This window comes from Homo sapiens, chromosome 22 (genome assembly GCF_000001405.40).
Source record: "Homo sapiens chromosome 22, GRCh38.p14 Primary Assembly".
Taxonomy (NCBI): Eukaryota; Metazoa; Chordata; class Mammalia; order Primates; family Hominidae; genus Homo; species Homo sapiens.
Genome location: NC_000022.11, coordinates 20,628,082 through 20,651,518, shown reverse-complemented (window position 1 = coordinate 20,651,518; position 23,437 = coordinate 20,628,082). Strand labels below are relative to the sequence as shown.

The following is a 23,437-nucleotide window of genomic DNA, read 5'->3' as shown; positions in this document are numbered from 1 at the left end:
CTGTGCCCAGCCTGGGATGGTTTTTAAGTCCCATTTTAAGTTTTTAAGTATTTGGTTGGTGCTTTGCAAGAAAATCTGGACTTGTGGGCCTGTCTGCAGGGATGAATATGTGTCTGCCTCGCCAGCATCGCACAGGCATTCTGCTGCTCTGTTCCCAGGCTTCCTGTGTGCACAATAGCTTTTCAATTCAAAGCTGAATCACAGTTGAATCTTTTTGAAGACATTTAAAATAGCACCTACACTCCACATTTGAAGTAACAACCATGCCCAAAACTTAATTAAAGTGACAATGCTATGAACTGCTGTGACTGAGTCTGTATGGGACCAGGCGGGACAGCCATGTCACAGTTGTAATTAGAAGACCTACCCAAATTTCAGGTGCATGAAAATATGAACAATTAAGATGTGTGTCTTTACATTGATAAAATATCGCAGTGATTCTCCCTTGGGTTATAAGCACGTGGGGTTAAATCAGGACAGTGCGTGGGAAGGCTGAGCCACGGTGGGGACACACTTGGTGCTCAGTAAATGTTGTTGAGGTGAATTTGGTGGAGGGATGGTGACATTGCTCCCCTGACAAACCCGCCTGAGATAAAGCCGGAGAGAAGTCTTGTAGGCAAATCCCGTGGAGAAAAGATCCAGCTGCTGGGAGGCTGGTGTGGGAATTGTGGGGAGAAGGTTTCTGGATATTGTCTGTGGGATGGGCCCTAGAGCTCAGCTATCATCTTTTTGTCTTTTAAGCCTGGCCAAGATAAATGCCTTCTGTTTGAAAAGGATGATTTTCAGAGGGACAAAACCTCCTTCCTGGTTCTAAAGGAACCTTGGGCCAGGGCCCCTTGAGCTCAGGAGGAAGGCATGAGTGTGAAGGGGATGGGGATGGGGGTGGGTGGTTTTCACAGCTGGGTGATGTAGAACGCATCGTGGAAGGGTGGCTGCAAGTGACTTTGCTTAGTATGGCCACCTGCAAGGAGGCTTAGGGTCTTCCAAGTGGCCAGGGTCTTGAGAGGATTCGCCAGCCTCTTGGTTCCAGTTATGTATGTGTTCTTGAGTCAAATGGGCCAGGGCCTATATCCACGGTGACTCCAGCATCATGGCCAGGCCTGAGTCCTCCTGTCTCTGCAGAGGGACAACATGGAGGCTGTGCCAGGGATTTCTGTCCCTGCATCAGACAGCCACTGTCGTGACCTTGGAGTGAACAGTAAGCCAGCTGATAAAGGGGTCTGTGGGGGACCTGGACTATAAAAAGAGGTAGGGCACTGGGTCTGCTGTGCATCTCCTGGGTCCCTTCATTCCCCTTGGCACAGGGAAGTTCCCCTCCTGAGGGGGAGGCTTGTACCCTGCCCCTGCTTCTTCCTGCTACTCTGCCTGGTTGTTATGGCCACTTGGCTCAGCCTCCCTACAGCTGTGGCCTCACGGGAAACTCAAAGGCTCGGGAGGATCCAGAAACCAAGACGTGGAATTTGGCAATATCCTGGTCAAAACCAGCCAGAGGGAGAAATCTTTACAAAGATCTCCTAAGACTGCAAATGGCAAAATGTTTCCCAGTCTCCAACCTCCCCTTTCCCAGCACTCAAGGGAAGACATAAGATGTTAGTATCTGATCCAGGGCCGCATCTCCTCTGAAATCCTGTGATTTATAAGATCCAGTGGCCGGGCACGGTGGCTCACGCCTGTAATCCCAGCACTTTGGGAGGCCAAGGTGGGCGGATCACGAGGTCAGGAGATTGAGACCATCCTGGCTAACACGGTAAAACCCCGTCTCTACTAAAAATACAAAAAAATTAGCCGGGCGTGGTGGCGGGCGCCTGTAGTCCCAGCTACTCAGGAGGCTGAGGCAGGAGAATGGCGAGAACCCAGGAGGCGGAGCTCGCAGTGAGCCGAGATGGCGCCACTGCACTCCAGCCTGGGCGACAAAGCGAGACTCCGCCTCAAAAAAAAAAAAATCCAGCAAAGGCTTTGGAACAGGGGATTCCCTGCTGCAATGCCTGCATTCCAGCACAATTAGGAAAGACTTCAGGAAGAACAAAGGAAGCTGTGGTGCAAAGGTGTGGCCGACCCCAGTATTTCAGCTTGAGGAGTCTTGGCTGCTGGTGGGGACAGGAAGCAATGGTGTTGGCTGCTCCAAGTCCACATGTAATCTATATATATATATTTTTACATTTTCTTGCTTTTTTCAGGAAACCTTTTATGATGAAAAAGTTTTAACCTAAAGATAGACAGAACTCGGGTACCTTCACCAGGCCCTAATGGCCTGAATCAGCCTATCCCTTCTCCCCTGTAATATTATTCTGAAGCAACGTGCAGACATTATATGATTTCATCTGTAAATATTTTAATGTGTATCTCTAAAAAAAAAAAAACTCTTTTCAAGAAACATAACCAGAACATTGTCATTGTGTTCTGTGTAATGTGAAGCCTCAGTGTGGTTAACATCAGGTCTTGGAGTGATGAAAAATGTTCCTTTGCAGGGTTTACCCTCTGTCCTCAGTGCTGGTCAGTGGGTGGGACAGTTGGTCCCAGGCTGAGCTCAATAATTCAGCTCCAGTCAGACTCTGCTGTTTCTCACAATCTCTCTCTCTCTCTTTTGAGACAGGGTCTTGCTCTGTCACCTAGACTTGGAGTGCAGTGGTACGATCCCTGCTCACTGCAACCTCTGCCTCACAGGCTCAAGTGACTCTCCCACCTCAGCCTCCCGAGTAGCTGGGACCACAGGTGCACACCACCACACCCAGCTAATTTTTGTATGTTTTGTAGAGACAGGGTTTCACCATGTTGCCTAGGCTGGTCTGTCCTCTCTCTCTCTCTCTCTCTCTCTCTCTGTCTCTCATTTTATTTTTAGTTATTTTTAATTTTTATTTTTTATAGAGATGAGGTCTTGCTTTGTTGTCCAGGCTGGTCTTGAACTCCTGGCTTCAAGTGTTCCTCCCACCTTGACCTCCTAGACTCTAGAGTTTCTAATCAAGAGACATTCATGGAAGAACAGGGTAGGCCTCCTGGGGATGCTCTGGGACTGGAGCCTTGCCTCAGCCTCTTTATCTTAAACTTTGGTCTGAAGCCTTCTCTGACCTTCTGGTTGAGTTCAGATTACATAAGCCCCAAATCCCTTTGTAGGGATGCTCAGTAAACAAAGCCAACACCAGCTCCCACCAGCTGTCAGCAAGGAGGAGCTCTGTGGCCATAGTCTGTAGTCACACAATTCTGTGCCTAGCTGTATAGCTACCATCTTGCCTTTGAGAACTCAGTGCCTTGAAGGCAAGGGTCCTGTCTTGCTCAGATCTTATCCCCAATACCTGCCACAGCTTGTAGACCTAATAGGTGCTCAGATCAGCTTTGTGAAATGAAGCAGAGAATTCAGGGGACCTGGGTTCATTCACCAGATATTTACTGAGCACCTAGCCTGTGCCAGCCACTGTGCTAGATACAAGGAAGACAGCAGTTGTAGGAAAGGAGAGGAAACTGCTTACCTTCTCAGAGCTTACATTCTGCTGGAAGACAACAAATGGACAAGGAGATGGGTGAATATATGCTATGGGACCAAGCCTTTGCTCCACCCTCCCCTTGCTAGATGACCATGGAGGCCGTGCCAGGGATGTCCCTGCATCAGACAGCCAATGTCTTGACCTTGAAGTGAACAGTAAGCCAGCTGATGAAGGGGAGAGGGTGAAGGAAGAAGGTTGGGCAGGAGGAGTCTGAGACACAACACACAGCTCTAGGAACATTTGGCCAGATCAGTTGGGAGTCTCTGGTGGACTGTTGACTATTAGAGGACTCTCTTGCCTGCAGGAACAGGTGGCACTAGTACCTAGCATGCTCGCTTCTGGCTGGGAGCAGCCTATGGGTAGTGTGGCCTCGGTGCCCAGGCTGGAGTGCAGTGGTGAGATCATGGCTCACTGCAGCCTTGACCTCCTGGGCTCAATCGATCCTCCCACCTCAGCATCCTGGGTACTTGGGACCACAGCATGTGTAACCATGCCCAGCTAATTTTTTGATTTCTTGTAGAAGGTCTTGTTGTGTTACTCAGGCTAAACTCAAACTCCTGGGCTCAAGCAATCCCCCTGCCTTGGCGTCCCAAAGTTCTGGGATTACAGATGTGAGCTACCGGGCCTTGACCACTTGATTGTATTTCTGTTGGATAGTGCTGGTCTAACATTGGTTTTCTCAGCCTCAGCACTGTTGACATTTGAGGCCAAATCATTCCTTGTGTTGAGGGCTGTCTGGTGTATTATAGAGTGTTTAGAAGCCTCCCTGACCTCCACCTACTAGACACCAGTAGCACCTAGTTAATCCACAAGGCATGGCAAACCAAAGTCTCTCCAGACATCGACAGAATCACCCCACTTGAGGACAGAGCAGATGTTGTGTAGCCACAAGAGCCTATGGGAACACAGCTGAGGGAGGAAGAGTAAGATCAGAGTCGCATCCCTGAGCCAGGCTCAGTGGCTCACGCTGTAATCCCAGTGCTTTGTGAGGTCAAAGCAGGAGGATCACTTCAGCCCAAGAGTTTGAGACCAGCTTGGGCAACACAGTGAAACCCTGTCTTTACAAAAAAATACAGAAAAAATAGCTGGGTGTGGTGATGCACACTTGTAGTCCCAGCTACTCAGGAGACTGGGGAGGGAGGATTGCTTGATCCTGGGAGGTCAAGGCTGCAGTGAGCCATGATTGCACCACTGCATTCCAGCCTGGACAACGGAGCAAGACTCAGTCTCAGAAGAAGAGTCAAATCCCCTGGGCTGGGATCTTGGCTCCACCACTTGTTAGTTGGGTGGCCTTGGGCGTGTTGTTTAAACTCTCCATGTCTCAGCTTCCTAATCTGGAAAAGGGTATAATGATGGTACCTGCACTCAGTACAAAGCGACAGCTATTGTCACTAATATGTTTGAGACCCACTTGGTGGAGCAGCTTTAGCCTCAGAACCATGGATAGTGCAAGTACCCTTTTCTTTCATTAGCAGCGGCTCCACTGGGTCTCTTGCCCATGGGTGCCCTGCCTCATCTGTTGAGTCAGGCTCCCTTTCATCGTACCCCATGAGGCCTGCCTCTTCTACAGAAGCACCCAGCAGGTGCCCCTTCCTTCCTGTAGCATCCTTTGAGCATGACTAAGTGACAACATGGTGAGGCTTGGCCTGCTCTGGGATAGGGCCTGTTTTCTTGGCTGTTGTCTCTCTCTGTTCTCTTCCTCTCTCTTCAGTTGTCATCAGTTCTGCCTATCTGTTGGAGCCCCCAGATTTTGGTGGTGGCTTTCATTGGGTCAGGTGGGCTCAATAGCCTGGGTCAGACTATAATTGGGGCTGCTGTTTTCTGCTGTCACCTCCAGGGTCTTTCCCTATCCCTGTGCTGGCCTGGGGATGAGCTGCTTGCTCTGGGATGAGGTTTCTGTGACCCACATAGGCTTGACCAGGGCTCTTGTTCTACTCACCACAGTCCCCCAGGATCTGATGGATGTCTCCATGAGTAACCTCTCATTCCTATGTCAGCCCAGCTCCTGGAAATCGTCCTTCTCATTCTGTTGACAGAGTGGTTCGGCTGAGATTTGTGGATGCCAGTATCTTTCCCTACATTGAATTGAGTGAACATAGACTATGGAGTCAACCAGATCTAGGTTAAATCCTGGCCTTGTGAAATTCTAGCTGTTGAAACTTATGTGTATTAGTCAGGCTATACAAGGTTATATGGTGCAGTAACAAACAGTCCTAAAACTCAGCTTTTTACAACAAATTTTATTTATCATGCATGCTGTGTGTCTCTCATAGGTCAAATGGTGAGGCTCTGTTTTTTCCACACCAAAGGGTCCAGCTGTTGGAGCAGCCATCATTTGAATGTTGCCAGTCACAGTGACAGGGAAAGGTAGCATTGGAGGGGCTTGAACCCACAATAAAAGGGCCCCACCCAAAATTAGCATGTCATACCCACCCACAGCTCATTGGCCCCATCCACAAGGAGCCAGGAAGTGCAGCCCTACCATGAGCCTAGAAGGCAGAATAATCTCAAATATTATTTAATGTCAACCACATTCATCTCAGTTTGCTCCTCCACACAGTGGAGATTCTGGTGCTTACTTTATATGGCTATGGTAAATGCCAGCTCAGATAATGGTTTAAAGTGGCCAGAATATGCCACCTGCACACAGTACTGTTCAGTAAATAACAGTTACCATTTTATCATGTAAACTTAAATCTCAGGCGCATCTCTCTCTTTGCCCATAGAGCTTTTGTCTCTTTGGAACTATTCAGCCAGTTCATGAGACTGGTTTTGTTTCCTCCTGGCCTTGCCTGGTAGAATGGAACCCTATTGTCCTTGCTGGTCTTCTGTACCAGTGTGTGGTCCAGTCTTCAGCCATAGGAGTGTACGGTGTGAGGGCTGGCATTACATTGTTGAAGTCATCATCTAAGCTCCTGGCTCCTCAGACTGTGGCCTGTGAACCAGCATCAGCACCGGGCAGATGGTCAGTCTCTTATACCAAACCTTCTGAATCAGAATTTGTGTTTAACGTAGTCCCAAGACCATGTGTGTACTTTTAAGATTGAGAAGTGCTAATGTTACCGGATATTCTCTTATTGTGCATCAGAATCCCCTGGGCTAGGTAGCAAAACATGCCAGCTCCTAGACTACTTCATAGAAGTTCTGATTAAGTCTGTGCAGGGCCCAGGAATACACATGTTGGAGCAACTGCAAGTAACTGTTAGGCTGATGGTCCATGGACCAGTGAGAAATGCTGCTGTAACCTACAAAATTAGCTGGGTGTGGTGGCGCATGCCTGTAATACCAGCTACTCGGGAGGCTGAGGCAGGAGAATCGCTTGAACCTGGGAGGCGGAGGTTGTGGTGAGCCAAGGTCACGCCATTGCACTTCAGCCTGGGCAACAACAGCAAAACTCCATCTCAAAAAGAAAAAAAAGAAAGAAAAGAAAAAAGAAAAAAAATGCTGCCATAACTTACTGCCCTCTCTCCTGTTACAGCGTCTGCTTACACACCTGGCATAATGGGGAACTCAGTACCTTGCAGAAAACCAAGCCCACAGTGGGACAGCTGTTTATGTGACCCTATTCTCATGTAACCTGAGCAACTGTAAGCCTCACCAACCTGAGGGCACAAAGTGGGACACTTCAGTATTCAATGCCTCCATGTGCCTGTAAAAGGAAAGTAAATCTCAGGGCCCCAAACCACTAAGCTAAAGGGAAAAGTCAAGCTGGGAACAGCTTAAGGCAAACCTGCCTCCCATTCTATTGAAAGTCTCCCCTCTGCTCACTGAGATAAATGCATATCTGATTGCCCCCTTTGGAGACGCTCATCAGAAACTCAAAAGAATGCAACTGTTTGTCTCTTATCTACCTATGACCTGGAAGCCTCCTCCCCACTTCAAGTTGTCTTGCCTTTCTGAACAGTACCAATGCTCATCTTACATACATTGATCGGTGATTGGTGTCTCATATCTCCCTAAAATGTATAAAACCAAACTGCTCTGACCACCGTGGGCACATGTCGTCAGAGCCTCCTGAGGCGGTACCGTGGGCGCACATCCTCAACCTTGGCAAAATAAACTTTCTAAATTAACTGAGACCTGTCTCTCATATTTGGAGTTCACATGTCTAACTAGAGGACTTCGGCTATGTTTCCCCCACCCCAGTCTCCCTGGATTTTTCTGGATGTCCTTTGGGATGTGCTGAGAATAAATATGCCGATATTCTTCCATTCTGTTCATTGCAAGAGCGTACAACACTCCCTTCAGCAGTCCTGGATTTATCCAGCAATGCTGGTACCTTACTCCTCTTGCCTCTTTCAGCCAAAAAAGTTGCCACAAATTCCCATGCAGGGAGAATCCTTGAGGCATCACCTACTTAGCAAACAGCCAGATACTGAATCCCAGTTTGGCTCTTGGTTCAGCTGGGTCACTTTAGAAATCAGAACTCTTTCGGCCGGGTGCAGTGGCTCATGCCTGTAATCCCAGCACTTTGGGAGGCCGAGGCAGGCAGATCATAAGGTCAGAGATCGAGACCATCCTGGCTAACACGGTGAAACCCCGTCTCTACTAAAAATACAAAACATTAGCCAGGCGTGGTGGCGGGCACCTGTAGTCCCAGCTACTCGGGAGGCTGAGGCAGGAGAATGGCGTGAACCTGGGAGGTGGAGCTTGCAGTGAGCCGAGATCGCGCCACTGCCCTTCAGCCTGGGCGACAGAGCGAGGCTCTGTGTAAAAAAAAAAAAAAAAAGAAATCAGAACTCTTTCTGCAAGTGATAGAAACCCACTTCAGACTGGTTCAGGTAAAAAAAATTGTTGGCATAACAGAAGCTTAGAGTCATAGTGGCTTCAGGCTCAGATGCTCGAGACGGGAATCTCTGTTTCTTCAGCTCTTGGCTCTGCTTCCCTCTGTGATGGTTCCATCCACAGGCAGGCCCTTTTTATGTTGTGGCAAAGATAGCTCCTAGGAGCTACTGTCCTGTATCCCACTGGTTTAGAAACTGAAGCAGAAAAAGACTTTTTCCTGGTAGTTACAATGAAAGTCCCAAGCCTAATTCTCATTGGCTCAGGTTGGGTCATATGACAATCTCCGCTTCCATTACTATGACTCCAGCTTTGGTCCTATAAATGGGTAGAGTCATCCCTTTAGAAACCGGAGACAGAAAGTTGTGGACGGAGTGATTTCTCAAGGGCAAACTGGGTCACTGGTAGTGGAAGAGGTGATGTTGTAAAGGTGGAGGTAATAGCACCCTCCCTGCACTCCTCATGACTGGCTGATTTCAGTTACCCTCTAGAGATAACAAGTTGTGCTCCTCTCCAAAAAACCTGGGCTGTGTTTGAATCTATTCTAAGCATCTCCCTCCTTCTCTGCCTGCAGGGCTCCCCAGAAACTTCTCTTGTGACAATATGAAGTACCAGATCCTCTGCAGAGCCTTCTATGGATGTACATAGGTCTTTGTTGCCGTGTAGTCTCCGAGGGGCAGTTATCAGTGCCTACTCTATGTCAGCGATACCAGGAGATACTGGCTTTGGAGCTTGAACCTCTCCTCCTCTATTACCTGAATGCCTGGTTTCAGTGAATTTACATGAACCGTTCTGAGCCTCAGTTTCATCATCTACAGATTGGGGATAAATTTTATGCCTGAGTCCTAAGAGAGGGCAGTGAACAATGGGGACCCCTGGGGACAGAGGTTTCATTAAATCACCATTGTACCCCCAGGTGCCACAGTGGAGGGTTTGTTTTCAGGATTAAGTGAGGAGCATGTAGAAAGCCCCTGGCAGCTAGTCTTGCATACTGTAGGTGCTCAGTAAATGTCAGTTTCCTTCTGTCATGGGCAGAAGCAGAAGAGTAAAGTGACGTTATGCCTCCCCCAAAACTTAAAAATTAAATTCCTAGTATCTGTATTCTGATTGTTCCCACTTAACAGATGAGGAAACTAAGGCACAGAGAGACAAAGTGACTTGCCCAAGGTCACACAGCTACCAAGCAGCAGAGCTGGGACTCAGACTCTGGCCTGACTCCAAGGCTTTGTTTTTTCTTCTCCGTATATTTATTCTTAGCAGGTTTTATTTCCGTAGCCTCACAGCCTTGATGGGAGAGAGAAAATGTGTGTGTGTTTTCCATCCCTGAATATACACATTTTATCTCTCCTCTTGAGGCTGTGAGGCTAGGGAAATAAAACCTGCAGCTATACACACACCTGCATGGGCCTGTGAAACCACAGTGCAGCTCACCTGAGTGCTGCAGAGGCGGGGAGAGCGTGACTCTACTAGGACAAAGGTTTTGCCTGTTCCGTTACAATCCACGTTTTTGCCTAATGCAGGGGCTGGCGTGGAGCAGGCATTGGGCAAGTATTTTTGGACCCAAATGAAATATCTTCCTGCAGGAAGGGTTGGGGGTTGATACGGGTCTGGAATAATGTCATCAGATGATGTGGCTCATGGCTGATGGTGGTTGAGAGCCCAGGTTTTGGAGCCAGGTGATCTGGTTTCAGATTCCAGTTATGTAACTTGTGCAAGTGACATAACCAGTCTGGGCCTCAACTTACCCCATCCATAAGATGGAAATAACAGTAGCGCCTGCTTTCTTGGGTTGTGGCGAGACTGAGTTATGCAAACTCTGCTAACAGCTCCCTGGCACATAGTGTGTACTGTGTAAGTATTAGCTATTAGATCATCGTGGTCATCATCATCATCATCATTGCTATGATTGACCCTCCTGTTAGAATTTAGTCCCCAGGCTGCAAAATGTCCAGGGTTCTCACTGGGAATTGAGGATGAAATGGCTGGGGAACGCCAGAAGGAAAGGGCACAGCCAGAGCAAACAGCACGGGCTGGCGTTTGCTGAGGCACTTTGCCTAACACCCTCCAGGTGACAGGGTGTGACAGATAAGGGGTGGCACATTGGTAGGTGTGCTTTTGAGGCAGGACCATCATTGAAAGCAAGCTGCCCCCTCAGTATCTCTCTCCCTGGTTCCTGACTTACTGGGGCCTTTTTAATCCAGCTGCAATTTTGTTTTATTTTTATCTGATTTTGTTTTATTTATTTATTTATTTATTTTGAGACAGAGTTTCATTCTGTCAATCAGGCTGGAGTGCAGTGGCGCGATCTCGGCTCACTGCAACCTCTGCCTCCCAGGCTCAAGCAATTCTCCTGCCTCAGCCTCCCAAGTAGCTGGGATTACAGGGGTGTGCCACCATGCCCGGCTAATTTTTGTGTTTTTGGTAGAGACGGGGTTTCACCATGTTGGCCAGGATGGCTGACCTCAGGCAATCCACCGGCCTCGGCCTCCCAAAGTGCTGGGATTACAGGCGTGAGCCACCACGCCCAGCCGATTTTATTTTTTAGAGACAAGATCTTGGCTCACTGCAGCCTTGACCTCCTAGGCTTAAGCAATCCTCCCACCTTAGCCTCCCAAGTAGCTGAGACTGCAGGCACACGCCACCACACCCAGCTAAGTTTGCTTATTTTTTGTAGAGTCTGGGTTTCACTGTGTTGCCCAGGCTAGTCCAGAACTCCTGGGTTCAAGCAATCCACCCACCTCAGCCTCTTAAAGCACTGGGATTACAGGCGTGAGCCACTGTGCCCGGCCGGCCCTCTTTTTAAAAAAATTTGTAATAGATATACTGTAGTTGTACATATTTTGGGGGTGCATGTAGTATTTTGATAGATCCACTGCGTATTGATCTATCACGTTTGAGGTGATTGGAACATCCATCACCTCAAACATTTATGTTTTCTTCATGTTGGGAACTTTACAGTTCTTCTAGCTATTTTGAGATATACAATAAATTACTGTTAATTATATTTTTCCTACTATAATATACAAGAACTTAATTCCATCTAACTGGATTTTTGTACCATTAACCAACTTCTCTTCATTCCCCTCCTACTCTTCCCTTCCCAGCCACTGGTAACCACCAGTCTACTCTCCGCATTCATGAGAAATACTTTTTTAGCTTCCATGTATGACTGAGAACATGTGATATTTGTCTTTCTGTGCCTCACTTTTTTTACTTAACATAATGATTTTCAGTTCCATTCATGTTACTGCACGTGACAGGATTTCATCCTTTTTCATGGCTGAGTAATATTCCATTGCATACATATACCACATTTCCTTTAACTGTCAATTCATTGATGGACACTTAGGTTGATTCTGTACTATTCCTCCACACATAGGTTGATTTTGTACTATCGTTAATGGTGCTGCAGTAAACATGGGCATGCAGATAACTGTTTGATGTACTGATTTCCTTTCTTTTGGATGAATACCTGTATTCAGCTGATATTTGAAAGAAAGTTGTCCACATCTCACAGTGTCTTTCTCTGTGTATGGATTGGAGGCAGACAAAGGCACAGCAAGGCCACAGAGTCATTGGCCACCTTCTTTCCTGTCCCTTCTCTGCCTCCAGCCTATCAATTAAATGTTTTGGCTTCCAGCAGAGGAGGATGGCATCACCCTGACTGTGGCTGAGCAAGGTGATAAGACTTCCCTAGGGTTGTAGAGCTATTAAGCCATTCAGCCAGCAAGTGACATCAAGCCTTGCCTTCCTTGTGAAGAAAAGGAGGGGTTAAAAAGTAGCTGAGCATGATGGCACATGCCTGTAGTCCCAGCTACTCAGGAGGCTGAGATGGGAGGATTGCTCGAGCACGGGAGGCTTAGGCTGAAGTGAGCCATGATCACGCCACTGCACTCCAGCCTGGGTGACAGCGAGACCGTCTCAGAAAAATAAAAAAATAAAGATGGGAGTGTGGGACAGCACTTTGGGGACTCCATAAGACAGGGCAAAGGGTATCAGGTGGTAGATGATGATGCTTTTCTTTCCTCTCCTGACAGGGCTTACCTACTGCAGACACCTGTCCACTGAGAGGACCCACTTGTCATCCCTGGTCAATTACATGATCATGTCTCTGGACTTGCCCTGTGATGCTGGACAGGAGCTGACAGCCGGGATCTGGGAGCAATACCTTCAGGATAGCACAGCAAGGTTTAGCTGGGCTTGATCTGCAGTGGTGTAGAGGCTGCAAAGGAGGGGCGATTTTGTTATGTGAGAAATAAGCCCACCTACTTGTGGGGACTCAAGATGACTTGTTTGGATTCTGCATATGCAAATTGAAGATCTCCTCCTCTTCTTGAGAGTTCCAAGACCCACAACTCACTTTTGCCCGTGAGTGTGGAGATTGAAGGGGATGGAAAACATGCTCACCTGGGATGAATAAAGAGAAAGTCAGTGAGTAAGTATTTATTATGAAGCATTAGTTTGTATCACTCCTGCACAAGGTGCTGAGACATGGCCCCAGCCAGAAGGAATTTACAGTCCAGTCAAAACTGCCTAGAAGTGTGACAGCAGCTGAGTTGGAGGGAGGCAGCTGAACCAAGAAAACCTTATCAGCACTATTTGAAACTTTTATCTCATCTGGCTTGGCGCCTGAGGTTCTCCCATTAGGTAAGTCACCTGGAATGCTTTCTAATATTTTCTTATAAGAATACAAATGTTCCTGGAAGGAAAATGTTTATGCTTGAAAAGAGTCTCATAATCAAATAGTTTGGGGAAGTTTAAGTTAAACAGGTATCCTGAAGGATATCTTAGAACCTTGGCTATTCTGGTATTCTTGTCACTCTCAGGAAATTGAAGGCGTGTGGGAGAGCATATGGAACATTCCTTCAAATGCATTTGGTCATAGAAGCCTTTACTGGAAAATACCTCCCATGGCTAGTAAAAAGCAAAAATGACTGAGAAGCACTGGTTTATCTCTGCCAAGAACAAAATCTAGGAGGAGGTACCTGTTTCCTCCACACTGGGTAAATCTAGTGGCCCAATCTGCTGTGCACCTTCCCACCCAGGTGCGTTCTGGGGAGGGTTGAGCTGGTTGAGTGTATCAAGAGTTGATTCCTTTGGATGGCTGAGTGCTATTCCATAAGATGGATGTAGCACAGTTTAACTGTTCACCTGCTGATGGATGGCTGAGTTATTTCTAGATTTTTGGCTATTGCTATTAAAGCTGTAATGAACATTCACGTACGGTTGTTTGTATGAGCACAGGTTGTCATTTCTCTGGGATAGATGAGTCAGAATGTAATTGCTAGGTCATACGGTAGTTCCATGTTCAGTCGTATAAGAAACTGCCAAACATCAACAGTAGCATGTGCCTTTAGTCCCAGCTACTCTGGAGGCTGAGGCGAGAGGATCACTTTAGCCCAGGAATTTGAGTCCAGCCTGGGCAATATAGGGAGACCCTGTCTCTAAAGAGAAAAAAGAGACTGCCACACTTTTGCAGTGGCTGTGGTATTTTATATGCCCACCAGCAATATATGAGTGATTCACACTTATATCTTCAGCAGAGTTTTGTCTTGTCACTATTTTTTATTTTAGCCACTCTGATGTGTGTAAATTATATTTCATTGTGGTTTTAATTTGCATTTCCCAAATGGCTAGTGAAGTTGAAGATCTTTTCATGGGCTTATTTGTCCATTGTGTATCATCTCTGGTGAAATGTCTGCTCGTGTCTTTTGCCCATCTTCTAATTGGATTGTTTGATTTTTTGTGTGGAGTTTGCAAGTTCCTTATATACTCAAGATAACAGTGCTTTGTTCATATATGTTGTTTGAAAATATTTTCTCCTAGTCTGTAACTTGTCATCTTTTTAACAAGGTGTTTTGCAGAACAAATTTTTAAATTTTGATGAAACTTAGCTTAGCAATTTTTCCTTTTGTAGACTATGTTTTTGGTGTCAAGTCTAAGAAAATTTTGCCTAGTCCTAGCTCCTGAAGATCTTCTCCTACATTTTATCCTACAGGGAGGCACCTGCAGCTGGGCTGGCTTTCCAGCTATTTTAAGCCTCAGGGAATCTTGGTTTCTCCAGGCCAGCTGTGCTGGGGATGAGGTGCCTGAGCTCATGGGGAGACCAACATGGGCAGGGGGCTGACCCGAGGCTAACTGGGGCTGGAACAGCCTGAGATGACAACAACCAAGGACAGAGACAAAATAGAATATCCATTTTCCATCTGAATGTCTCTCCAGCCACCCAGAAAGTCAATTTCCATTATTATGAACCTAGCTTCACAGAGGGGAAACTGAGGCTGAACCCGAGCCTCCAGCTCCAGCCACAGGCCTGGCCCAGTCAGGGCTCCTCAGCCCCTGGCCGCCTCCAGTCTTGGGACATCGCTCCTCCTGAGACCCCAGACAGGTGCTCTCTACTCCCCACTCTCTGCCTTATTTCTCCCCAGCACAAACCCCATCTCCTACACCACATCGCTCCCTTGTCTATTGGGTTGATTTACATCTCCCCCAAATACGAGTTCTCCGAGCCTGGCTGTGCCTACCTTGCCCCTTGCTGTGTTCCATGAGCAGGAGGTGCTCCCTTGTCTGACCAGGGTCCCCTGAGAAGTGGGCCCATCTGGCTGGTCTGGGGTCTCACCTTCTTCAACCACTCTGCCCAGGAGCCCCGGGACCCAGCACCCCTTCCTTTCAGAGCTGCTCCGTGCCCCCGGGCCCTCACAGCCTTCCTGTCTCCTGTGGGTGCCCTGGCCAGGCCTGGCTGGTGGGTCATCCTAACCATGGGCTACTCTGTCCTCAGAGTGGACATGGGGCATCTGATGGCCCCAGCTCTGTGACACAGGCCACAGAAGTCACCCAGTCCCTCACTGGCTCTTGTACTTGCCTCATCGAAACATTCTCCCTGAAGCCCGTGGTCTCCCCAGACTCATTTCTCATTGGTCCCCACATGTGCTGTGCTATCGCTGATCGGAAAATGGGGTCAGGGTCACCCCCGGCCTCTCATGAGCTGGAGTGAGCTTATCCCCAGGGGCTTTAAGCAGGGCCCACGTGAGACCACGAACCCCATGGTGACTGCCCAGGTGTGGCCCTTGGTAAGGCTGTCCTTGTTGATGTGTCAGGAAGGAGAGTCGAGGGAGAGCCCCCTCTGAGAGGTGTGACTGTCATTGTGCTGCGTCACTAACCGGTGGGCATTGCAAGTGGACAGTGACTTGTTTCCTCTACCTCCCGGGAAGTTCCCACATTCTAGTTGGCTGAAGCTTGGTTTTGGACCTTCGTGTTGGGGGGAGTGGGTGCTTGCTGGGATCCAGTGGCCTCTTTTTGGAGCATCTGGGTCTGGTTTGCTTGTTACCAGTGAGTGTCGGTGTCCTCAGGAGAATACTGGCCGGGGACCAGCCCCCTCTTCCCACCACTGGGCTCAGTGAGTATGAGGGGTCAAGGGCCCCTCCACAGGCCTGGCTGGGGATGCTCTCTTGGTGCTTTTGCAGGCCCCATGGGGGGCCAGGTCAGATAGGAGAGTCATCCGCTTAGCTCAGTAGGAGCTCCTAGCCCTCACCCAGAGCCCCAAGCAGCCACCTCCCCTCCCATTTCCTCCCCTCCCCCAAGGCCCCTCCATACCCACCGGGGCTATTTGGGGCTCTGGTTTTGGCTGTAGAGGAAGCCACAGATGCCCCTCCCCCATCTGATTTAGAGCAAATGCCTCAGCCCTGGTCACAGCGAGGCAGGACCAGGGCCGGGACAATCCCTCCTCCCTGGACTCCAGTGCTCTTCTCTGTACCTTTAGGGGCTCTCCCAGTGTGGACCTACCCTGCCCTGGTGCTGTGGGGCCATCACTCCTGAGGATATGACCAGGGTCTGAGCTGGGCAGGGCAGCAGGTGCAGGGCAGTGCAGGCACAGGGCCAGCTGGGCCACTCTCAGGCTGGCCGGAGCCTGGGTGGCCCTGGTTGGTGCCTCCCTCCTGGTCAGCATCCCCTCTATAAGGTGGGCAATGGCAGCTCTAGAGCTCAGGGTCGCTATGAGGCAACCGTGGTGCATTCCTCATGGTCGGCCTGCCCTATGTGAGGTGGACCATGGCTGCCCTGGGCCTCAGGGTCACTGTGAGGGTTGATGAGGGACTGTGATGTTCCCACTGTGGCCCAGGGATGACAGCTGGGGCTCCGTCAGATGGTTCTTTCAGTTAAATCTTCTGCTAAGTAGGGGGAGATGCCCCTGCTGCCCCAGGCGCTCCCTGGGCCAAGCTCCAACCTTGGGGACTTGAGGACAGGGGGGTGCAGTGGTGTCTCCCTGTTGTCCTCCAGCTCATGAGCTTCTCCAGGGCAGGTGGTCCTGGTCTTGCACCAGCACCTGGCCCACAGCTGTGCTCACTGAGGGTTTGCTGAATGAGTGTGTGAGTGAATGAATGAAGGACTGAGGAGCTGTGGAAAGAGGCTGGGGGTGGGTCAGGCAGCAGCTCACCATGTTGACCCGGGCAGGTCACTTCCCTTCCCGTGGAGCCTCAGTTCTCTCTTCGGTGAAATGGGCACACGAGCACCTGCCCCTGCTCTGCTTTGTGGACTCCGAGGACCCTCCTGCTTCTGCCTGTCTCCTACACCGGCTCGATGTAGACTGAGGAGTGTAGGTCCCCAACCCCACAGAGCCACAAGGGGATTGGTGTGTTCAGTACTGTCTCCTGGCCCTGCCTAGCACAGCCTCAAGAGGGAAGGGTGACCTTGGGTCAGGGGCCTGGGCACCCACTGTCTGTGCTGCCCTGAACACCTGCAGGACCTGGGCAGGCTCAGCCTCCTCAGTCTGGCCTCAGGGAAGGGGGTTAGCCCTGGGTAGACCCAGGGTCAGACTGGGCATCTACCATCTGTGCATCCTTCAGCAGGTGTGGAACCCAGCCAGGCCAAACCCTGTCTCTACCAGAGCAGGGACCATGCAGGAAAGACTAGGTGGGGCTGGGCCTTGCTCTCTCTCCTGGCACCTTCCTCTCGGAGAATGGCTGGAGCCCCAGACCCAGGGAGCCTCACAGAGAAAGTCCCGAGGCAGGACCTGGTTTTCCACCTGAGGCCCAGGATCCAATGGAGAGGTGTTTCCCAAAAAGAATGCCCCCCAAAGGCAGCCAGTGACTTTCTGTGCCACACACTTGAGAACATCTCCGTGTTCTGGGGCTGCCAGGCAGTCACCTGTGCAGGTGTCGGAGCCCAAATCCAATCAATACTAAGGGATTGGGTAAAACACATCCCCACTGCCTGGAGTGGTGGTTCACACCTGTAATCCCAGCACTTTGGGAGGCCAAGGTGGGCAGATCACGAGGTCAAGAGATCAAGACCATCCTGGCTAACACGGTGAAACCCCACCTCTACTAAAAAAAAATACAAAAAATTAGCCGGACATGGTGGTGGGCGCCTGTGGTCCCAGCTACTCGGGAGGCTGAGGCAGGAGAATGGCGTGAACCTGGGAGGCGGAGCTTGCAGTGAGCCGAGATTGCACCAGTGCACTCCAGCCTGGGCGACAGAGTGAGACTCCGTCTCAAAACAAAACGAAACAAAACAAACAGACAAAAAACACATCCCCACTGTTAGTTCTGAGGAGATGCCTGGCCTCAGCATTGAAAACACCAACTTCCCTCAAGCAAAGGCTTTGTTAAATCTCATAGAAATGATGGAGCTCCTGTTACCCTTCTTGCTCTGGTTCCTGGGGAGCTTAGAGCCTATCTTTGGCAAGTGTCCTGAGCCTCCTGCAAGCCTTTTGTGTGTGTTTCCTTCTTGCCTTCCTCCGATTTTTCTTACACCTGTGAACCTGCTGGCAGGTGAAGAATCGAGGTGGGCCCCAAATTTAACAGCTCATGAATTTGAAGGTGCTGGAGTATTCTGGACAGTCCAGCTCTCAGGGGTGGGGAGTTGGGCAGAGAGGGAGGAGGGGATTCCAGGGGCCAGGGCCACGGGCAGAGGAACTCCAGGCCCAGAGTGTTACTTCCAGGCTGAGGAAAAAGAGGTCGTAGGTGGGAAGAGTGTCTTTACTAGGGCAAGGACAGAGGGCATATCTGAAGGCCCAGCCAGGGACAGCTCCATCCAGAAAGGAGGCAGGGAGTGGCGGGGGGTTGGGGGAGGGAGTGCTGCAGCGGGGAATTGGAGGAGGGAGAGGGCAGAGGGACTGGTCTTCAGTGATCAGATTGCTCCTTGCCTGGCCTGTTTCTCCAGCAGATGCCCCTGGGAGCCTGGGAGCCTCTCCCACAAGCTATTTTCCCACTGAGTGTCAGGATTCCCCCATCCCCCACTGAGAACCTGGGGGAAGTGTCAAATTATATGAAAGGTAAGAAATGAAGACAGGGAGCAGAATTTCTGATTAACAATGAGGATATTTACTGAGGGTTTATTGGGTGCAAGGAGAAGGGCTGGATGCCTTGGGGTGGGAGGGGAGACCCCTGCCCTGGGATCCTGCAGCTCCTGGCTGCTGTGGGTGGGGTGAGGGGCCTAAGAACATAGCTGCTGGGGGACCTCCACTGGTCAGACGTCAGGTTCAGGTAGCTGCTAACCGTGTACTTGTGTTTCTCTGTTTGGAGGGTGTGGCAGTCTTCATGCCCAGGGTGATGGTGGTGCCCTCTGCCTTCCAGGCCACCATCACGGCATCAGGGTAGAAGTCACTAATGAGAGGCATCTTGTTGGCTTGGAGTTCCTCAGAGTGTCCAAAGGGGCGGCCTTGGGCAGACCTGTGTGGACAGAGGAGGGGGCAAGAGAGGCAGAGGGAGTACTGGGGTGTTGTAGAGCCCCCTCTCTGTCTAAAGTCTCTGTGAGGTTCACGGCATGGCTGTCCAGTCCACCCGGGGCTGCCTCTTCCCTCCTCATTCCCCTCCTTTTCACTCAAGACCTCTGCAGAGCAGCCAGCCCGCACCTTCCTAGGAGCTCTTCCCAAGTCACCTTTTCTAGGAGCCCTGGCCCAGCCCTCCTCTGCAGCCTCTGTTTCCCTGTGTGTACCCAGGGCAGGCTGTGCTCCCTCCTCTCTGGTCTCTGGAGTCTGAGTTTGGAATTTGCACGTCCCCGCCCAGCCCACAGGACTATCCTGGCAGAGTGTGGAAAGGCCCAAGCCTGGTGGGGCCTGGAGCTTCCTGTCCCCTGGGGCACCAGGCTTTGCCCCAGCCCATCCCATTCAGCTTTCCTGATGAAGGGTGGGCTGCACCCAGACAAGCCCCGGGGCTCCTCCACCGCTCTTCACCTCCCTTGTCCCCACCACCCCAACCATAGGACCCTTCACCTCCACTGTGGTGTTGGGGCTGCTCCCCTGGACCACGGGACACAGCAGCCCCCCATGCCTGCCTCCACGGACTCTGACAACTCTAGACTTCAGCTGGCTGCCGTAGAGTCCTCTGCACCCCCCATTCGCTCCCCTCTTGTCACCTCCTGAGTCTAACGTGCCCTTTGAGGAAGGTGGGAGACTGACCCATGGACAGTGAGACGCCAGGCCCCAGGGGTGAAGGGGCTCCAGGGACAAATATGTCTCTGCCCTAAGGGATCTGCTCCTCTCTGATGACTATTCTGGGAGGGCTGGGCTCTGGCCATCTTGCCCCATCTGACCCATCTTCTTTTTTTGTCCCTGTGTCCTCATGACCCAGCAGAGGCCAGAGAGCTGCAGCCTAGACCCAGAGCCCTCTCTGCACCTGCATTGATGTCACCTCATGGTGACCCCTTTGTCCCCAGGCCCCCGTGTGGCCTTCCCAGGCTGGATGGGCATCCAGCCATCAGCCTAGACCCTGGGGTCCGGGGGGTGTCTCTGATGCTACTGCAGTGTGCCAGTCAGAACTGGCCTCTGCCCCGCACCTCGGGTGCCTGCCCTGAAAGAGGTGAAGGAACTCTGACCTTGCCTAAACCCAGCCCAGGCCCCGGGACCAGGCTGCGTCTGGCTGTTGGAACCTGGGGCCCTTCTGCTGGTTACCTCAAGACTAACCCACCTCCCCCAGGACCCATAGAGAAAGGTAGGGGTCAGTGATTAAGGCTGGGAGGGCAGAGGAGAAGCCACCCCAGGGAGAGAAAACATATTTTCCAGAGACAACAGAGGGTGGAACTGGCTGGGGAAGGTTGTAAGAGCCACTTACCTAGAGTAATGAGCTGGTTCCCACTGCTGTTTACCCAGTGACTGAGGCTTGGGTCCAAATTCCTGGGGCCAGTACAGGGGCCAGGCTGAAGCGGAAACCTTCTGGGCATGATGGGCACAGGGCTGCAGTGGGCGTTGTTGGGACCTAGGCACAGTGCGTGGGGGTGCCAGACCCCGAGAGGTGTCCCTGTGCCTGTCCCCTGTTTGAGGCAGGTGCCACCCACAGTCTTGGAGTCACCCCAAGTGTGTGTCCCCCCTCTCTGAAGCTGTTGGTGCTGGTGGCAATGCTGGGCCCAGTAGGTCCCAGCAACTCCCTGAGTAATGTGTCCCCTAAGGCAGCTGTGCTGTGTGGCAGAGGAGTCCTGAGCTGGCTCGGATCAGCCCAACCTCACCTGGCCTCATTTTAAGGGCCTCTGAGTCCTCCCACAAATTTCCCAGTCAAGCCAGGCTGGCTTCCTCTCTGGATCAGGACACTGGGTCATTCTCGACTCAAGTGGAGAGTCCTCTGCTTTTATATCTATCCGTGGAGACACAGCTCAGTCCCACTTTTTTCATGAAGCTTTTCTGATTTCTCAGATTATTAGTTTCATCTGTCCATCTATCCAGTTGTCCATCTGTCTGTTCATCTATTCATCTGTCTGTCCACCTGTTTATTCATGTCTGTCCGTCTGTTCATCTGTTCGTCTGTCTATTCATCTGTCTGTCCATCCATCTATCACCCACTGGAGGATTCCACTCCATCTCACTCTCCTGTACTCCTCCTCTGGCCCTCATGCAGGATTTTTCTTTTTTAATGTTTCTGGTACCAGCAGTATTAACAGCTCCATTCTTAAAGAAGCAATACCTTGGCCGGGCGTGGTGGCTCACACCTGTAATCCCAGCACTTTGGGAGGCTGAGGCGGGTGGATCACAAGGTCAGGAGATCGAGACCATCCTGGCTAACACGGTGAAGCCCCGTCTCTACTAAAAATACAAAAAATTAGCCGGGCATGGTGGTGGGCACCTGTAGTCCCAGCTACTTGGGAGGCTGAGGCAGGAGAATGTCGTGAACCTGGGAGGCAGAGCTTGCAGTGAGCCGAGATCACACCACTGCACTCCAGCCTGGGCGACAGCGAGAGTCTGTCTCAAAAAAAAAAAAAAAAGCAATTTATTTTTTACCAACACTGATGTGGGTGGATGCTGTTGTTTGCAATTAAAAACCAAGGCCGCTACAGATATGGGCACAATATTGTGTGAAGCTGGAGACCCTCATGGAAGCGAAAACCTGGGATTGGCTAGCCAAGGCCAATTGTTTCCAAAGCCCTCTTAAGAGGATGTGATTACTATCAAAGGGTGAGATGCTGGCAGCAAAGATTATATTCACCTGAATGAAACCAGGTGTGGTGTACGCCTGTAGTCTCAGCTACTTTGGAGACAGAGGCAGTTGACTCCTCAACTTCAGGAATTGAGGCTGCAGTGACCTGTGTTCATCCCACTTCACTCCGTCTTGGGTGACAGGGTAAGACTATCTTTAAAATATGTATTTTTAATTTTTAAAAGGATCATATTCACTTAAATGTGAACAAAGTGTCCATTGAGGGCACAGCTTTAGGGGATCAAGTGGCCACTTCTGTAGAACAGTGTGATGGGTACGAGGGCTTAGGAACTAGAGGCAGGTCGGCTGCTTCTAACTGCACTGCTGGAGCTCAAATCTAGAATTCACACCTCAAACAGGGTCAATGTCTCTACTGTTCAATCCATGGGACATTCTTAGCCTGGCCCCCAGAACAAGGCTTGTGTCTACCTGCCATGACCTGCTCATAGGAGGGTGAGGTTTCTGGTTCCCAGGGCTGTTGGCTGTCTCAGTACCATGGACGTGTGTCCTCACAGCAACGGGCCAAGGCAGAACAGCTCCCCGAGAGTCAGGATGGTTCTCTTAGTTCCCTGCTTCTCACACCTGGGCCCTACCCTTAGACAGAGGAGGTGACACTGAGAAAGACAAAACTTTTGAAAGTGGGAAGTTTCAAATGCGGAAAGAATTGTGATGTTCCCTGAAAGAAGTAGTAACTCCAGCACTGGAGATAAGATAGTGGCATCAGAAATTCAGAGGGGCATGGCTTACATGCGAAGAGTGAAGCTGTGTGGGCCTGAGACCAAGAAAAGAGGTACTGGACTCCGATTAGCTGGGCCCAGATGGCCAGACAGGTGTGGAGACAGATGGAGGTGTGTGACCAGGACCCTCCTCAGAACACCACTCTCGCTTGGCCAAATGCCCTGTTCTTCTGGGTGGCTATGCTTAGGGCTAGCGTCACTGAGGTCACTGTGCTGCAATTAGGCATCTTCACTAGGGATTCAGTCACAGATGTAAATCAATCACAGTCGCGTTTGTGGAAGAAGACTCCAAACTAGACCAACCGAATCTCTAGGGGCTGCCCCAAGTGTGCCTGGGGTGTCCTGGTGCCAGTGCACAGCTCTGGGTAAGAACCACTGGATTAGATATGTAAGCCCCATGGGTAAGAAGAGGACCTTGCCTGAAAGGTGGATCCCAAGTATTGGTCACCTGGGAAGACTGTGGAATCCTAGAGAGGACAGGGGACAGAGAGAGAGAATTCTAGAAGTCCTCATGCTCATAATCATGAAGACGCCAAGATGACCAGGATGAGGTGAGTTGTCCTTTAAGAAGAGTCTAGATTTTCTTTGTCCTTTACATTTTTTTCTCCTTCCTTCCTCCCTCCCTCCCTCTCTCTTTCTTTCTCTCTTTCTCTTTCTCTTTCTTTCTTTTCTTTCTTTCTTTCTTTCTTTCTTTCTGTCTGTCTGTCTGTCTCTCTCTCTCTCTCTCTTTCTTCTTTTTCTTTTTTTTCTTTCCTTCTTTCTTTCTTTCGACAGAGTCACTCTATCACCCAGGCTGGAGTGCAGTATCATGATCTTGGCCCACTGCAACTTCCGCCTCCCGGCTTCAAGTGATTCTCCTGCCTGAGTCTCCCAAGTAGTTGAGATTACAGGTACAGCACACTCCACCATGCCCGGATAATTTTTGGTGTTTTCTTTTTTTTTTTAGCAGAGATGGGGTTTCACCATGTTAGCCAGGCTGGTCTCAAACTACTGACCTCAAGTGATCCACCTGCTTCAGCCTCCCAAAGTGCTGGGATTA

At 50.3% G+C, this 23,437-nt stretch overlaps 2 pseudogenes, besides 5 other annotated features; one reads left to right on the top strand and one right to left on the bottom strand.

Annotated features, from left to right (window-relative positions):
* LOC100421121 (small G protein signaling modulator 1 pseudogene) lies at positions 1,036–12,447 on the top strand (annotated as a pseudogene).
* Positions 1,066–1,266: a silencer, noted in NCBI's record as "peak4458 fragment used in MPRA reporter construct". NCBI's record gives its function as "represses an SCP1 promoter by STARR-seq MPRAs in K562 erythroleukemia cells {active_cell/tissue: K562}" and the evidence as "EXISTENCE:reporter gene assay evidence [ECO:0000049][PMID:32103011]".
* Positions 2,057–2,563: an enhancer, noted in NCBI's record as "H3K27ac hESC enhancer chr22:21003243-21003749 (GRCh37/hg19 assembly coordinates)". NCBI's record gives its function as "activates a minimal SCP1, AML or CMV promoter by ChIP-STARR-seq in naive H9 embryonic stem cells {active_cell/tissue: H9 hESC(naive)}" and the evidence as "EXISTENCE:reporter gene assay evidence [ECO:0000049][PMID:30033119]".
* Positions 6,891–7,447: an enhancer, noted in NCBI's record as "NANOG hESC enhancer chr22:20998359-20998915 (GRCh37/hg19 assembly coordinates)". NCBI's record gives its function as "activates a minimal SCP1, AML or CMV promoter by ChIP-STARR-seq in naive H9 embryonic stem cells {active_cell/tissue: H9 hESC(naive)}" and the evidence as "EXISTENCE:reporter gene assay evidence [ECO:0000049][PMID:30033119]".
* Positions 16,878–17,620: an enhancer, noted in NCBI's record as "H3K27ac-H3K4me1 hESC enhancer chr22:20988186-20988928 (GRCh37/hg19 assembly coordinates)". NCBI's record gives its function as "activates a minimal SCP1, AML or CMV promoter by ChIP-STARR-seq in primed H9 embryonic stem cells {active_cell/tissue: H9 hESC(primed)}" and the evidence as "EXISTENCE:reporter gene assay evidence [ECO:0000049][PMID:30033119]".
* Positions 18,693–18,929, bottom strand: IGLL4P (immunoglobulin lambda like polypeptide 4, pseudogene; annotated as a pseudogene).
* Positions 18,808–19,333: an enhancer, noted in NCBI's record as "H3K27ac-H3K4me1 hESC enhancer chr22:20986473-20986998 (GRCh37/hg19 assembly coordinates)". NCBI's record gives its function as "activates a minimal SCP1, AML or CMV promoter by ChIP-STARR-seq in primed H9 embryonic stem cells {active_cell/tissue: H9 hESC(primed)}" and the evidence as "EXISTENCE:reporter gene assay evidence [ECO:0000049][PMID:30033119]".